The 18,469-nt window shown below is 39.8% G+C and overlaps 1 protein-coding gene across 4 annotated transcripts in view, besides 1 other annotated feature; it reads left to right on the top strand.

Moving 5' to 3' along the window:
- CERS6 (ceramide synthase 6) overlaps positions 1 to 18,469 on the top strand; it is a 318,863-nt gene that overhangs the window by 274,114 nt on the left and 26,280 nt on the right. The window lies entirely within an intron of this gene.
- Positions 5,691 to 6,191: an enhancer, noted in NCBI's record as "H3K27ac hESC enhancer chr2:169592586-169593086 (GRCh37/hg19 assembly coordinates)". NCBI's record gives its function as "activates a minimal SCP1, AML or CMV promoter by ChIP-STARR-seq in primed H9 embryonic stem cells {active_cell/tissue: H9 hESC(primed)}" and the evidence as "EXISTENCE:reporter gene assay evidence [ECO:0000049][PMID:30033119]".

Below are 18,469 nucleotides of genomic sequence, written 5' to 3' on the forward strand. Positions count from 1 at the left end.
AGCCTGGTCTGAGGCTTTGATGATTGCGTGTTGTATGTTGGCTCCTGAGTGAAGCAAAGAGAGAGGGCAGCATGGGAAGGGAAGGACAAATGAGAAATAGCAGGGGGTGGGGAATTATCTTGCCCCTTCCATGCAGTCGTCCAAGGAAGAGTTCTGGCATAAAGATTTTAAATTCTGTATGAGGGACCTGGTGAGTCATCCCCAGCCACCCTGTGGATTTCTCATCAGGCTTACTGTGTTGTCAATTAGGTGCCCAACCTCAAATTCGTAACAAGCTCCATGTCTCTCAGGGCAAGTTGCAGCTACCCAATGTAACTATCTTAAGTACTTTTTTGAAAGGACGGCATATAAACCCACTTATAATTTTCACAAACAGTTGTGTCTTAAGACTACTTTATATTCTACAGTCTGCAGCCATGCATTAAAGAGACATTGCAAAATAAATATTTAATTTGATTTGTTTGGTGACTAATACATTGTGTTGTGATCTGTGAGTTATTCCGAAGTTATGAAGAAATGTAGAATCTAGGACTCATTAAAATATTTATTAAAATTGTTCAAAAAGGCCATTGGAAACATGTTCAAAGAAATGATTCTGCATACATTCCATATAAGAATGACCAGACTGAAACAATTCCAAATGCTTTTAAATTCTGAGAGATACAGAAGTACTGTTTTAATCACTTAATATTTTTAGATGGTCTTTGTAATTGATATATAAATATAGCAAAATGCATCTAATGAAATGGAATTGTCTGTTAGCTGTAATTCTGCTACCTAGTGGTGTATGCTAATTAAATAGGGAAATATTTGGGATTGTTTCCCAAAATAACATCCAGAGAGTGCCCTGAGTCACTTCTGTTCCAAACGAGCCTCCTACCTGCTAATTCTGTCGTGCTCTGCAGTCATAACTGATGTTAATCTGAAGCAGCACAAGACTGTGAACCATCAAATAATAGTAAAATATTTTTCAGTGGCTTTTTATTATACCTTTTGACTAATAATAAATGAACAAAACAAAATAAGGAAAAATTTCTAGTTATCACTGAGTTAACCAGAGTATTTCCATTAATCAAGATTTTAGTATACCAAATTTTCTAGTTTTTATCTCATGGAAATATAAGGGTATTTTATCTTTTGTATGCTACTGAAGGGAAAACATCATCATACAGCAATGAATACTTCAAGGTGATGTTCAAGTATCATTTGACCATGGGAAGGGAGGGACAAAGGAGAAGTAGCAGGGGGTGGGGAATTATCTTGCCCCTTCCATGCAGTCATCCAAGGAAGAGTTCTGGCATAACGATTTTAAATTCTGCATGAGGGACCTGGTGAGTCATCCCCAGCCACCCTTGGGGATTTCTCATCAGGTTTACTGTGTTGTCAATTAGGTGCCCAACCTCAAATTCATAACAAACTCCTTGTCTCTTCAGTGAATTCAGAAGATACGTGAAGCACTGAAGGAATTTTTCTTTGTGTACAAGTTCCTTAAATTACTTCCCTTTCCTAGAACACTGCATTATGTTAGGAGCACAATTTGCCAAGTCAGCATGTCATGAAAAATGATCAGAACCCTTTCTTATACATTAAGTCTACAATATATCGGAGAAATAAGTCAGTTGCTTCACAAAATAGGTTAAAGCTGCTGTGAAGAGGTAGGGAAGAAACAGAGCTTGAATGTCTCTCTAAGTAATGAATTATTCATGGCACTTGACCCCCTTCTTCTTTCCTAGCCATATGATTGCATTTATTTCAAATTGTGTCTCCCCCATCCCATTAAAAAATTTAAGTAGATGTTAAATTCCCTACTCTCAGTAGCAGTCACATGGCATTTTCCTGAAGCACTGTTATAATGGAATTGTTTGGTAATCATTCCTTTCCTTGTCACGTTTCTCCACTCAAGAGTGAGTTCCAGCAGGGCTAGGACCACATCTCATTCTCCCTTTATGTGCTCAGTCCCTTGCACCTGGTGCTGGTGCCTCTTGCAGTTCATCTGTGTGATTTATTCTGCATCTTAATTTCGAATTCACCTTCATAAATGGCCCTCCCCAGACTGGTAGCTTGTTTACTTAATTCAATCTAATATAGTATAACCCTTTTTACTGTTTTCTCCCCAAATCAAGGAAAAATATTCTGAATGCCAAAGTAATACTTATTTAACTTCTCTCTTCTCCTGAGCACACATACTCTACCTAATTCTCCTCCATTCTATTATTTTCTCACCCCACATGCTGTCCCTTACAGCTGTTGTCTGGGTTGAACTCTCTTTCAGGCATAGTATGTAGGGGACTGGCCTTTGGGCAACCCATACCAGACATAACTGACTTGTGGCTTTTCTGACTCTTTCTCTCTCCCTTTTTTTAAAACTTGCTCTCTATCCATCCTTCAAAGGTTTGGGGAAGATGATGAAAGATTGCTTTATTCTGAAAATAACTACATACACAAGTAGGGTCATTGTTTATTTTTATCTTCTGGCCTGCTTTTTTTCCAGAAAGAAGTCAAATAAAGTGATGCTTGGTTGTGTGTTTACAATGCAAAGAGATAGATAAATATATATATATCAAATAGCTATATTTACGTATGTAAAAAAAAAGATACAGTGATGCCGAGTTGTGCTTAATATGATCTACATCAGATAAGTATCACACCAGTGGCTTCCATGAGTTCATGGGGCTTCTTTTCGTAATTAAATGTGGAGATATTGTCACTTGCTTCCTGCTGCAAAACAATAAAAGGAATAAAATGGAACATGTTTATCACATAAATAAGGGCCTTAATGGTTTTGAGATTTCAGACAAAACAGCTTCATTGCATTTACGTGAAAACCCAACAGTTTCATTGAAACTGTATTTTGCTGGCACTTTTTGTGCTTGTAGAGTCTTGGTACAACAAATAGGCCTTAAAACTCTCATGTTATCATTTAGAACTAGAATCAGGATACGCTTCTCTGGACCAGTATCTTGAGAACCTTGAAAAACAGCTAAGTGGATTTCCACATCACCTGAGAACAGATGGAGATTGTTTTCCCCTTAGTGAAGAGGAAAGAGAGTTAATTTTCCTTCATGTTAACACTGTTCCCAGTATGCAATGACAACTTGCTGCTCCTTATTGCTTCTACATCTGAAAACTTCTTGGCAGTACAAAGTAATGCACTTTTATTGGAGAAAAGGGAGAAAAATTTGACAGTAAGGTATGTCAGTTACTAGAGCCGTCATTTAACCAAATGCGTATCTTACAGTAGACGAGTATATAAAGTTAAGAGATAAGCAGCTCAACTCCAGCACAGGAGGAAGACTGAATAGGTTTCTAGGGAGTTTTTCCAGTCATAACAAAAGCCTCTGACAATTCTGGAAACATGATGATGGTAGAGGAGCAGGTAAAGGTTGACAAGGGTCTTGCCCAAGAATCTGGATTGCAATGGACACATGTGATAGTGATCACTTCCCATGCGTAACGTGGCTTATCGTCAGGAAAGTTTCTCAGGCCTTCTCTTGAACCCATTAGGGGGAAAAATCAGATTGCCAATACTTTGCTTCAAAATGGAGGGGTCAGCAGTATCAAATACTGCAGGGCAGATCAAGGCAAATGAAATTACCAGTCGCTGTGAAATTGTACATGTTCTCTTCTTCATCCATAAAATGGGAGAATTGGAATAAATCTCACTTGCTAAAAGTTTTAGAGCTAAAAGCTCTAAAAGTTTTATGATGTTATGCTTTGGCAATCATGAGGGGGTTGGTGACCTTCTAGTTCAAAAAAAATGTATAGAATTATCCATGCAAGGGATTCTGGTATAGGAGGTGTGGGCGGTGAGCAAAAAGAGATAGTGGACGTAGACTACTTGTTTAAAAAGCCTGCAGTGTATAGAAGGAAAAAAAAATAAGCTGACCATCAGTTATTGGCTGGGAGATGCCCAGGAAAGACATGCCTTGGCTCACACCCTGGGGCAGATTCTGAGGGCACTGCTGCTGGAGGCTTTCAGCTAACTGTGCCCATCACAGCTGAGTGACAAAATGTCTTGCAGGGAGATCTGAGCGGCACATGTCCTTGGTATAATTTATGCCACTATAAATAGGACACTAACACTGAACCATTTATGCCACTATAAATAGGAAGCTAACACTGAACCTGATGAACGAATCCATCAGGAACAAAAGACAGACAGACACGCACACACACACATGCACACGCACACATCAGCATGGCTGTATTTGGCCATCTATCAGTAGTCAACGGTTAATCAGACTGTATATTGGGAACATACATGGCTTTGTTTTCTTACAGACTTAAATTTGAAGAACAGTGATGATGAACTCATTCTATATCACTTTGGTTTAAAAGTTGCTTAGCAATGGGACAAAAACAAAAGCAACTAGGTTTATATTTAGTGCTCTATCTATATGCATCTGGAGCACATTTTGGAAATAATTCAAAAAGGCCAATTCATTTCATGCCTTCTGCTACTAAATGAATGTGGGAGTCAAGCTGCTATTTTCACAGTGCAAGACATTTATTGTTGACTTAAAAAAACTCTCCCACTTGCACATAATCACTATCCTGACAAATGACACTATAGAGTTTCAGCTCCTTAAGCATAAGGTAGAACAATCTTTAAGAAATAAATATTAGGCCACAGGAGTTAAACATAAAGTATCATCCAAGCACAGATTCAAAGCATTTAAACACATACATTATTCTCAAGTGGACCAGTTCTTCACTGAGTATGTGTTCTTTAGGTTTGCAAGACTAATCTTATGTCTCACCCCTCCTCAATTGAACAGTATTGGCACTTTGATTATTCAGTCAGTGTAGGACTTTTTAACTCCGTGCCAGGCTCATTTGCAGCTATCAGTGCTGATACAACTTCATGCCATATAATACTTTTAACAGACTACTTCCACACCCCTGCAAAAAAAAAAAAAGTTAATAAGCAACTGATCAATTAAGGTTAATGGTAGATTTAGGCCTATAAATTGTACCCATCTTAGTCATTTCTGCTTCCTAAAAATTTATACAAGAACAGTTTTTTTCTGGGGTAAGAGGGTGTGATTGACACCCTAATTCTGTTTCTTCTGTTTAGATTGTGGAAATATAATCAGACCGTTTCAGGGCTCTATGAGTGTGATCCTTGGACATGAAACAGTTTCCGAGTACAGAGTATGAAGTGCTGGTGAGCTTTTGTCACCAACAGCACTTAAGAAGTATTTTGGCCAGGTGCAGTGGCTCATGCCTACAATCCCAGCACTTTAGGAGACTGAAGAGGCAGGATGATTGCTTGAGCTCAGGAGTTCAAGACCAGCCTGGGCAACATAGTGAGGCCCCATCTCTACTAAAAATTTAAAAAAAAAAATCAGCCAGGCGTGATGTCACATACCTGTAGTCCCTGCTACTTGGGAGGCTAAGGCAGGAGGATCACTTGAGCCTGGATGATTGAGGCTGCAGTGAGCTGTAATTGTGCTACTGCACTCTGCCTAGGAGACAGAAGGAGACCCTGTCTCAAAAAAAAAAAAAAAAAAGAAAGAAAGAAATATTTTTCTAGGCAGCTGAGTGGGGTGACTCACACCTGTAATCCCAGCACTTTGGGACACTGAGGCGAAAGGACTGCTTGAGGCCAGGAGTTTAAGACTAGCCTGGGTAATAATGCAAGACCCCATGACCCCATCTCTATGAAAAACTGTAAAAATTAACCAGGCATGGTGGTGTTTTGATTTGGTATTAATTTACTCTTAGTAAACTTGATAAAATCAGCACTCTTCTCATACTTTTGTTACCATTACTGTAAGTAAGTGTAATAAGGCCTTCCTTGGTAAAGAGTTTTTGTGTATATTAAGTAAATATGCACATGAAAGTATCTCAAGGTTTAAAGCACTGTATAGCACTGTGTCTATTTCATTTGAAAACGATAGTTGATACATGTACACAATGAGGACCTTATCAGACCCAAGTGGGCTTTTTTTTTAAAAAGACAGAATCTTGCTCTGTTGCCCAGGCTGGAGTACAGTGGCACAGTCATAGCTCACTGCAGCCTCAAACTCCTGGGCTCAAGGGATCCTCCTGCCTCAGCCTCCCAAGCACGGGCACTACAGGCGTGTCCACTGTGCCCAGCTAATTAAGAAAAAAAAATGTTTTGTAGCAACAGGATCTCACCATGATTTCCAGCCTGGTCTCGGATTCCTGGCCTCAAGGATCCTCCTGCCTCAGCCTCCAGTGCCTGGCCGTAGGTGGGCCTTAGATAAGGGTACCTATGTAGAGGAGGATTCTTTGAGGGAAAAAGGCTTAAATTGAGAAACGTCTGACTGTTCAAATTAGAACAGGGAAAGTGAAGAATAATCCAGCTGCAACATTTAGTCAAAGAGAATCGTGTGATGGCTAGCATTTTCCTTCCAGGTTTTCAGATGGAGCTGATGCATGTGTAAGGACAGCCCTGGCATGGCAGGCAGTGCACGACAGGCTTGCTGGCAGCATGTCACTCATGCCTGCCCTTCCCCTTTACTCTCATGCTACCTCGCCCTCACAGAAGGTGATGAAATTCTCTTAGGCTCTCTCGCCTCTGGTCCCTGTCTGATAAATGTGTGGATCTGACTCTATTTTCGGTGGATTTGTCTAGAATTTGTGCTAAGGGGATCCGTTGGTGGCTGTACCATCTCTTTCTCTCCACCACTTTTTATCCGATCCTGTGAAGAGCTATTGCTTCCTGCTTCTGTCTACCTTGACCTCTTCCTGATAGCATGCCAGCCTCTTAAGAGGCACAAGCAATTGTGATAGAGGCCAGACTGAGGACTAGGATGACAGCATCTTCCATTAGAGCTGTACTCACTACAGTTGTGTCTGTAATACATAAGAGGGTCTCAGGAAAAACACAATGAAAACCTTTCAAGACTGATTCAATTAAGTGCCTCCCAGGAGAGACTGAGCCACCAACAATGGAAAATTCAATATTGGCTCGCAGAAAGACGCTTAGTCACATAAATGTCCTTTTTCTCTAATGTGTAAGGAAAAAATTCTGCGGCGTCCTTTTGAAAATCTGACATTTGCTTTTTTAAAAAGTGCTACCTCTTTCAAATTCTTTAATACCAGTATTCATGGGAAATTCATTAGGGGTGATGTGAAATTATAAAATGAAGGGCTGCAGTGTCTAAAACCTTTTGTTCTGATACACATTTGAAATCCTGCATGAAATTACCCATGCTTATGACTCCAGGCAGGGACCAAAAAGAAGAGTGTCTGTTGAGCTTGAAATGCGAGTGTGGATGCCAAGGATTTTGCTCTGTGTCTTTTATGTGAATAAAGAAATATAATGTGCATCTTCTTTTCAAAAACTGAATTCAATATTAAGCAGCATTCAGGGAATGAGCAGTTTTCTTTTGTCCTAAAAGTGCCATTGTAATAGTTGAACATCATATGTACAGTTTATAAACAGCTTTTGAGCTATGTATTGGGAAATATTTAGTGACAGCCATTTCTGCAGCAGGTTCACGATGGCATCAACAGGTGAATGTGAACTATTGTTATTTTCTTTAGGTGTGATAATGGCATTATGGTGAGTGTTTTTTAAGAGTTTGAAATATGTATAGATGAGATATCTGTACATATATATAGAGAGAGGTATAGATGCAAACACACTGACCATGAGTTGATTATTATTAAAGCTGCTGAAGAATGTGTATTGAATAGGTCAATTGTTATTCTATTTTCTATTTGTGGGTATATTTGAAATTTTCAGTTATAAAGGTTACACACTTAAGTGAAATAGTTTTATTTTATATACAGGGTGAGAGACTCAAATTATGAGTTAGGATTCCCTCTGTGACAAATGAAGCTGGGCGTGGTAGTCCAGGCCTTGCTTTCTGCTTACAGCTATTAGCACAGGGCTTGTTACATGTGACCAACAGGAAGAGGTGTGAATCAGCTTGGCTCTGCAATTCAGTGTTGGTGGATGGTGTGAAGATTTTAAATGACAGATGGTGGTGATTATTAAATGATAAATAATGGCAACTTACCAGGAACCAAACAGAAAATAGTCACTTTATGTTTCTGGTATGCATCTGAATTATTCTTGTTATATAATGACTTTTTTAACACTGTTGTAGATGAACAGTGCTTACGACTATGGAAGTTTGGAACTTCAGAGAATTTAAAACTCTATCATACTGTTACCTCTCATTCCTCTGATTAGAATTTACATAGATTAAGCAAGTAGTCTGTTGAGGGATAGACTTCTAAGTAAGCATAAAATGGAACATTATAACTTGGAGTTTGCATCACAGATTTTTTATAAGTTGTTGGTCAAAGAAAATGTCATGATTTTTTAAAGTACCAAATGTAAATCGTAAAAAGCTTAGGCACAGGGCTAACCAACAGGGATACAAAATGAATGTAGTACCCGTGCTCCAGAAGCTTGCAATCCAGTTCTAACATTGGGCAGCCAGCTGTAACCCACAGCAGACAGCCAGAAGTGGTAAACAGCAGTAGAAAATTTTACAGTAGAAGTTGTTTGTTTGTTTGTTTTGGGGGGTTTTTTTGAGACAGAGTCTCACTCTGTTGCCAGGCTGGAGTGCAGCGGCACTATCTCGGCTAACTGCAACCTCCACCTCCCGGCTTCAAGCAATTCTTCTGCCTCAGCCTCCCGAGTACCTGGGACTACAGGCACATGCTGCCACACCCGGCTAATTTTTTTTTTTTTTTTTTTTTTTTTTTTTGTATTTTAGTAGAGACGGGGTTTCACCATGTTTCCCAGGCTGGTCTCAAATTCCTGAGCTCGGGTAATCCGCCTGCCTCGGCCTCCCAAAGTGCTAGGATTACAGGCGTGACCCACTGCACCCAGGCTACAGTAGAAGTTTTGATGAATTCTGAGCCAGGCAGTGATGATGGTCTAACTGAGAAAATGATATTTGAGCTGGGCCTTGAAGAATGAATAAATAGTAAATGGGAAGAAGGACATCCACCCTAAGCTGACACCATGAGCAAAAGCGGAGAGGGAAGAACAGGATACAATGCAGAACAAAATCTTACTCCGGGAATAGAGTCTAAGGTTGGTCATGTGGTAAAAATTGAGTATATTAAAAATTTCCATGAAAATTCCTAAATTTACCATGTGTGCAACAAGATGATCTCACTAAGAAAGGTAAGCAAGGTCAGAACTGAGAAGAGCCAAGGGTGCAGAAGATTCATGTTCCCTATTTCAAGTGAGTTAAGAGGAGTGGCAGATGGAGTCTCCCGCGTTAAATTTATTTTTTATTTACTCTTGTTATTTTATGCTGTTATTTTATTCCATTTTATTTTTTTGCTAAGCATAAATAGTGGAATCCTCAATTATGACATGATGCAACTGACTCCACTGCCTTCTGTGGTATGAAGAAGAAAGGAACTTTTTTTTTTTTTGAGACAGAGTCTCGCTCTGTCACCCAGGCTGTAGTACAATGGCACCATCTCAGCTCACTGCACCTCTCCTGCCTCAGCCTCCCGAGTAGCTGGGATTACAGGCGCACACCTAATTTTTGTATTTTTAGTAGAGATGGGGTTTCACCAGGTTGGCGAGGCTGGTCTCGAACTCCTGACCTCAGGTGACCCATCCGCCTCGGCCTTCCAAATTACAGGCATGAGTCACTGCGCCCAGCCTGGAAAGGAACATTTAAGGGGATGTTCCTTGAGCTCTCCAGGTCCAATTAGGAGCTGATGTTGTAAAGTTCAGTATGGCAAAAAAAAGAGCAAGGGAAAAATTAGTGCTGAGTCTTTTCCAGAATTGATGCATATTTGGTGCATAATGAGAGAAAATTCCATGGATTTTTTCATTAGATACATGTTATTTAACAGCACTTCACACAAAGTTGTTACACAGCAGGTGAAAATATTCACCAAGCACAATATGAAGAAAAAATAGAAAAGAAATGACTTTACTTTCTTAACTTTTTCTATATAAATACATGCTATGTATTATCTTCAGAGTTAGAAAATATTAAGGCCATTCTAATTATAGAAAAATTCCATTTATCCTACAAATATTTGAAAACTCACTATTTGCCAAACACTACTAGGTAATTGAGACCAGGATGGGAAAGGCACACATTTCAGTCCTTGCCCTTATGAAGCTTTCTATCTAGGAGGGCAGAGACATGAATCACCTGGTTACAATGTGGTGAGCATTATGAAGACGTATCAACTGCTGTTAACATCCAACCTTTTCTGAGGGTCAGGCAATGCTTCTTCCCTGATGAATGACTTTGGAGCTGCCGTCTGAAGAATGAGTCTGGGTTAACTCAGCGCCTGGGGCATCACAGATCTACTGAGGAATTAAGAAAGGATTCTGAAATTGTTCACAGTAGTAGTCTAGTTTCTTTAAATACACATATTCTAGATTATCTGGATGACCACCTTCTGACAAAATACTGCCACATGATTTCATTGCTCATGTTGTCATTTTGTTTATGATCACTTTAAAACAAGGTCTAAATGGGGACTGGAAGCCTATGGCAGTTACTGCCTAAGTAGGAGTTGGTCATTATTTAGAGTAGAGTGGTGGTAGTGGTGGTAGACAGAAGTAAATGGCTTCCAGAGGAATTCAGGAGATGGACAGGGCATGTAGCCACATTGGTTATGGAGGGGATGGGTAAAGGAGATAGAGGTAGAGAGAGTGATGCTGCAGTTTTGACTTAAGTAACTCAGTGAGGGCTGAAGCCATGAACTGTGGTAAGGAGATGGTGGTTAACAACGTGGACTCTGGATAAACCCTGTATGCGTTCAAATTCTAGTTCTACCATTCTGTCTATATGACTGAACGAATTATCTACTCACTCTAACCTCTTACTGAGCTGCAAAATTGGGGAATAAAAGCAACAGTGTATCTCTGGAGCTATGATGATTAATAATAGCAGTGATAGTGGTGTTATTTTGAATAGGGTTTATGGGAAATATGAGTTTGATTTTGGAGTTGCCTCATAAATATCCAAGAGGAGGCACCAAGCAGGCAGTTATATGTATGGATTTGGAGAATTAAAAAAAAAAAAAAAAAAAAAAGACAAACTTAGCTAGAAAACCAGTTAGAGCAGGGGTGTCCAATCTTTTGGCTTCCCTGGGCCGCTTTGAAAGAAGAGTTGTCTTGGGCCACACAAAAAATACAATAACACTAACAATAGCTGATGAGCTTTAAAAAAAATCCCACAATGTTTTAAGAAAGTTTATGAATTTGTGTTGGGCTGCATTCAAAGCAGCCCGTGGGCCACAGGTTGGACAAGCTCGAATTAGAGAATCATGAGCATGACGTTGACTGTGTGATGAAGCATGCTGGTAATGAGACCAGAGCTCATATATATATAATAAGTAAGGAAAATGTTTATTTCAGAGCTACAGGGCCTAGCTCAGGCAGGCATGCTGTAAAGATGTGTTGCTATTCACATGAAAAGACCATAAATGTTACTGTCCACATGTGGAGAGCAGTAACAGTAGCATTCTGAGTATTGATTCCTTGGTGCAGGAGGCATGGAAATAACAGAAGTTCCAGGGTTATGCAGGTGGCATCTGAAAACATCAGTTTCAGTATAGTATTCATTTCAAAAAATGAGCATGTCGCTGGCAGCTCCATGGTCATTGAGGTCCCGCCCAACTTCAGTCAGAGTATTCAGGGGAAAAGATTTGAGCTTTGACGTGACTATTGTTTGTCTTACTCTGCAGAGAGAAAACAATCACAGTGAATGATAAAAATACATTGTGTTAACATTTCATTGGTGTTGCAGTTTGCTTCAGTTCTGCATGTTATGTTGTTCACTTTAAATGGCTTCTAAAGTCACTTTGTATTAGTCTCAATGTGATGTTTCATCCCCTTTTTTGCCTTTCTAATAACTTTATTTTCAGGAGCCTGATGTTCTTATTCTTTTTTCTGTTGCATGTCTAAAGTTTTTGCTAAAACTAAAGTCTTGGCAGTAAACAGGCCAAATACAATTATCATGGAACAGTTTACTCAAAAGTTATGCGTATGGGTATAAATATTGCAAGAGAAATGTGAGGAATAGCCCTGTTTGGTCTATGCTTGTCAATTGGTATGGCCACGAGGGACACTCTGGGCTGCTGAAGTGAGCTCTGCTGGCTGTCCTTTTGCTTGGAATGGGAATCCTCCATTATCAGCACCTATTATTTGATAAAGAGTACATAAGTGCCTTGGCAGATCCAAAGCAGGTCAAATGCATGCGATCATTGCACTTATGCTTTAAAGTGGGAGGCAGTAAGATTGTGGGCAAATATCTAAAATGAAATAGACACACAATAAAGGACAATAAAGAGGCCAGGCAGAGGGAACCACTAATACCAACACCCACAGGTGGGAATGGCCTTGGTCTAGCCCTAGAACAGAAAGATTGATGGACAGGAGGGGAGAATGTAAGCACTGAGACTGGGGAAGTACAAGAGGGAGCAGATTAGGGACTGTGTTGTGGGTCTTTGTATAAGGTGTTTGGGTTTTTATTCTAATTGCAGTGGGGGGTCATTAGAAGACTTAAGGCAGAAGAATTGATTCTAATGATTATGAGTGTCCCTGAAATTTTTCAGCATCGCTAAACAGTAGAACCAGTCCCTGCTCTCTTTTGATATTTATCTCCTCGGGATGGTTGCTTATTTGGAATTTCGATTGCCTTTCCACATGGACTGATTTTTCACTTGAATCGATATCTTAGTTAAGGAAGGTATAGTTTGCTCCAGAGCCTCACACTACTTGGGGCCGACCCTAACACTCCCAGTTAAAGAGTGATTAAGATGGAAGGATTATTGTCTATATTCATATATATATATATATGTATGTATGTGTGTGTGTATGTGTGTGTGTATATATATATGTGTGTGTGTATGTGTGTGTGTATATATATATGTGTGTGTGTATATATATATACACGTATGTATGTATACACACACACCTGATAGAAGAGGCAGCTTGAGGCAAAGCAACAATGAATTACTAGTTGGAGCTTTATATATAAGAGTTGTTTGGCTGGGCGCAGTGCTCACGCCTGTAATCCCACCACTTTGGGAGGCTGAAGCAGGCTGATCACTTGAGCCTAGGCATTCAAGACCAGCCTGAGCAACAGGGCGAAACCCTGTCTCTACAAAAAATACGAAAAATTAGCCAGGTGTGTGGCACATGCCTGTAGTCCCAGCTACTTGGGAAGCTGAGGCGAGACTGTCTCAAAAAAATAAAAAAGAGTTGCTTTTTAAAAACTTGACATGAAAATATTTTATATAACCTTCTCTAGTGTTTTAAACATAATAAGCCTGATGCTACATCTTAGGAAACTTGATGGTACTGACTGAATCTAAAGGGGAATATTTTTGTTAAGTAAAAGTCTGTAATCAACATTGCTCTCTCTTTAACAACATGGATGTTAAATGACCCAGGTCATTGTAACTGAATTATGAATCACAAACATTCACTCACTAGGTATCCAGCACAGGATCCAACTAAGTGTGTGCTTAGAACATACAGTGGGCCACAAAATTTTTAAAATATTTTTACATTTGAATAGAAATTTACTTGATTCCCCACATTCTGTCCCACCCCACCCCCCACCACCACCAAAAAAAGATAATTTTTAGGAATTGTATTGTTACTGTTTTCTTTTTTCTTTTTTTTCTTTTTTTTTTTTTTTTTTTTGAGATGGAGTCTTGCTCTGTCACCCAGGCTGGAAGGCTGGAGTGCAGTGGCGGGATCTGGGCTCACTGCAAGCTCCACCTCCTGTGTTCTCGCCATTCTCCTGCCTCAGCCTCCTGAGTAGCTGGGACTACAGGCACCCACCACCACGCCCGGCTAATTTTTTGTATTTTTAGTAGAGACGGGGTTTCACCGTGTTAGCCAGGATGGTCTCTATCTCCTGACCTCATGATCCGCCCACCTCGGCCTCCCAAAGTGCTGGGATTTACAGGTGTGAGCCACCGTTCCCGGCCTGTTACTGTTTTCTGGTTAGGAATCATTCTTTATATGAACTACATGTGGGTGGAGATAAGTACACCTTTTTTTTTTCAGGCTATCAGCTGCTACGAACACACTGCCCCCATTTTGTTGGGCTTTACTTATTGTCTGAAGGAGTTTACAAACGCATGCTTCAGACCCTCGCTTCAAAAGACAATGTCTGCAAAATCCTGGGAGGATAAGCGTAAGCTTTGAGCAGCTCTCAGTAAAGGAGGGTGAGGAAAGAGTGGTCCCTGAATTATCTATGAGTTGGGACAGTTTGGCAACCTCAAAAGTTAAGGATTTTAAAGCTTGAGGCTCTGCTGTCCTCAATAAAGTGGATAGAGGAGGAGGACAAAATTTAAAACATTGAATTTTGCCTGATAAATATCATTCAGGCACACACAATCATAAATGACCCATAATCATCATGTCTCTACTGAGAGCAGGAATGGATCAACAGAAAGTTATTCAGAATTGTTATTCAAAGTTAGAGATTTTTTAAAAATGAGTACTGATGGGAAATAGAGAACAAAAGGGGGAAAAGCTTACAGAAGTGGTTCCCAAACTTGTTTACACATTGAAATCATCTGGGGATTGTTTAAAAATTCCAATGCCCAGGCTCCACCCCAGAATAATTAAATTTTAATCTCTGGAGATATGTGGCAAGCGGCATTGCTTTTGAAGCTCCCCAGGTGATTCAAGTGAGCAGGCAGGTTGGGAACCATCAGCCTATTGAACAGGCTCTTTGAAGCATATGAGACACAGGTGGGAAGTGGAGAAACCAGATTTCTGAATTATTCAGATAAAGGGAAATGAGTTTTGCAATGGAAAGCACCATTACGAATAAAAGTTGATTTTTGAATCATCTCAGTAGACATGTTTTATGTATTATGTACATGCTCCAAAATCTCATGTTATGTTTATCAGTTTAAAAATTTTTTTTTTTTTAGACGGAGTCTTGCTCTGTCACCCAGGCTAGAGTGCAGTGGCACAGTCTCGGCTCACTGCAAGGTCCGCCTCCTGGGTTCACGCCATTCTCCTGCCTCAGCCTCCCGAGTAGCTGGGACTACAGGCGCCCACCACCACGCCTAGCTAATTTTTTGTATTTTTAGTAGAGACGGGGTTTCACCGTGTTAGCCAGGATGGTCTTGATCTCCTGACCTTGTGATCCGCCCATCTCGGCCTCCCTAAGTGCTGGGATTACAGGCGTGAACCACTGCGCCTGGCCAAATATTTTTAAAAATGTAGAACACAGCTTATATGCTTCACTCAAGACCTTCAACCCTAAAATTGGAAGGTCCAGGATAAGAGAACAAATGGAAACCCACAGACTGTATGTCTAAATGTTTGTGTTACAATTCAAACTTAACAACTATTAAATCAAGTATATTCAGACCTGGAGAAATATGCCTATATAATGATCCAGAAGTCTGGGTTCAGTGTAGAATGTCCATCTCCCCCAGAGTCCTCCCCAGAATGTGGCGCTTCAGGGAGAGTGGGCGTCCCCAGCAGGCAGCCCCTCTCTTTCTCTTCCTACCTTCAACGTCATCAAGCACTCTGAGGGGCTTATACTCACCTGTGGGGATGCCACATTCCCCTCTTAGATTAGCTGGCCTCTGGGTCACCTCCCAGGCCCATCAGTGTAAAAAATGAACTGGATATGGTGCATACCCGCATCTGGTCCTCAGAGAAGAGGCAAATGTAAACCCAGAAAGAGGGGTCAGGAATCCCCAGATTCACGTTGCCAGAGCCTGGTAGGAGGGTTGAGTGGGCTCCCAGTGGCACATCCTCTTGACCTCACATGCCCCTCACCACATGGGAGCTATGTGCCCAGAGAAAGACCAGAGCTGCCCCCTCTTGCATGGGCCCATGGAGGCCCCACCCAGCACCTTGTAGAAACACAAAGAAGTAGGTTTTAGCAACCTCACTTATAGCCAGAGACTGGAGCAGGAATGAGGTTTAGAATTACGGAATCTAAACAATTTGGGTTCTTTATGAAAGGGGTTTTCTTTTAGAATTTTATTGCTACTTATCATCAACTGCTTATTTGATAAGTTTATTATTTTACTTTATTGCCCTTGATCATGCAAGAAGATGTGCAGTCTCCACTAACAGACCTTCAGAAAAGCACACATCCCACCCCTCTGCCATCACGTTCCGAGTGTGGTCTCCATCTAAGGAAGATTTGGGTGGAGGGACATGATGAGACTCTACTGATGTCTGGTATTTTTCTGCTTGACTTTGTTTCTGTGGTACTATCTGAGTGACACACTAAGGATACTTACACATAGGAATGTTAACACCAAAACTAACAACAGGCTTAAATTCTGAGTTTTATCCCCTTGGTACACCTTGTGCAATCCTAAAGATGTTCAGCCCTGGCACTGAAGCAGCTTCCCCTCTTCTGCACCTGAGAGTTGAACACAAGTAGCTATTTCCAAACTGATTTAAAAGGGTAAAGGGTATATATATATATATATATATATATATATATATATATATATATATAAAATCATCTTTGAAAAAATGATTATATGCATTTATATAGATTTAAAGTATGTTATTTTCTCTAATTATAAGAATACATACTCATTAGAGAACATTTGGAAAATGTAGAAAACATTTTAAATCCCTGGAATCAGAAGTACCTAGTGTTAATTACCATTTTGGCATATGTTCATTTAATCGCACTTTAAATCATGTTTTATACATATGTGTGTAAAATGTCTAAAGGAAAATTGGAGATTATACTGTACGTAATTTTTAATCTAGCCTAGGCAACATAGCAAGACCTCGTCTCTATTAAAAATAAAAGTTAAAAAAATTAACCGAGCATGATGGTGCATGCCTATGGTCCCAGTTACTCAGGAGGCTGAGGTTGGAAGATCGCTTGAGCCCAGGAGGTGGAGGATTCAGTGAGCCATGATTGCACCACTGCACTCCATCCTGGGCAATGGAGTGAGACCCTGTCTCAACAAATTTTTTTTTTTTTTTAATCTTTTGTCACTTTTCATTAAGTTGTGAGAATGTTCTCATGTCACTAGATAAAAGACATGATTTTAATGTATGAATAATGTTCTACCACTATAGATATGGATTTTTAATCATTTTTTAAAACCATTAGAAATAGTATTGAGAAAGCATTCTTGAACTTAAATCTTTGTTGGTAACCTTTATTTCTTAAAAGATAGATAACCGTAAAAGTGACTTTGAAGGTAGAGAGTTATTTTAAGATATTCTGGATATATATAGCCAAATTATTTTCTATGAAGATTTCAGCTACTTGTACCCTGACAAACTATGTATTTGAGTGGTTTCATTTTATTTTTTGATAACACAGTGTTTTCTCTTTTTTATGTATATTTGATCATATAGTTTAAATATTATCTCTTTTAATTATTAGTTTCAACATTTTCAAACCCACAGAAAATTTGAAAAAATACAGTAAATATGCATATACCCCCAGTTGCACTCACCGTTAGCCCTTATGATACCAATAGCACTTCCTACACACGCTCACACATAAACACACACACACACACACGCATTTGCCAAATTATCTGAAATTAGGCTGCAGATATCATGACAGTTCAGCCCAAAGACTTCAACATGCATGTATCCTGTTTTACTTTGTATTTATTGGATTATTAATATGGGAGAACATTTTGTTCATGTTTTCATAAGCCAGTTGTATTTCTTCTGATTCTTTGCCCACTTTTCTCTTTGAATATGTTGTGATTTTCTCATCAAAATCTGTGATATCTGTGAGTGAAAGCTGCATCAGATGCTACCCAGATGCCACCTAACCTTCTGACAAGGAGCTAGGCCCTGTACACTCAGATGGCCAATGGTGTGTAGGATAAATTTCCTCTCCAATTTAAGGTATGGCCTTGGCTATTGCTCTTTCTGCAGTGAGAGTAGAAGTCTTACCTTCAGCTTGTTGACTGTAACCATTTTATTTATGATCAGGGACTATGGAAATAAGTAATTAACATTGAATGGATAAGCACAGTTAAACTCAGTATAACTGGTGGAAACACAAGAGAGTGCCTTGTCCTGTTAGTTAAATAATTTTTTAAAATTTATTTTTAGATGAAACCCCCTGAGATTCTGTATACTGTCTTTTGAGTATTGGAAAAATAATTTTTACTAAATAAAACCACCATCTCTAAAGCCACAACTTGGAAGTGTTTGCAGTGATTTCTGCAAAAGAACTCATTGTGGTCCTACTCCTGAACCTGCACGCCCCCACCGAATGGCTGGCCTGGGGACTGCTTCAGTCAAATTGTGTTTGTATTTCTTTCTTCCTCAGTAAAGCGTTGTGTGTGCCTGTCCAAGGCTTGCCAGCAAATTGGTCACATCAGGCAGATTTCCAGCCTGGCAGTTACAGGTGGAAAAGGCTTTCAGATCTCAGGCTCTGAGTTTTGCACAGGGACTTCCCTCTCCCAAGGTCTACGGCACATCTATTTGTCTTTTTATTAGTATAACATTTAATCCCAGAAATGGCGTGGTTGGGGGTGGGGGGGGGGCAGGTATTAAATG

This window comes from Homo sapiens, chromosome 2, assembly GCF_000001405.40.
Source record: "Homo sapiens chromosome 2, GRCh38.p14 Primary Assembly".
Taxonomy (NCBI): Eukaryota; Metazoa; Chordata; class Mammalia; order Primates; family Hominidae; genus Homo; species Homo sapiens.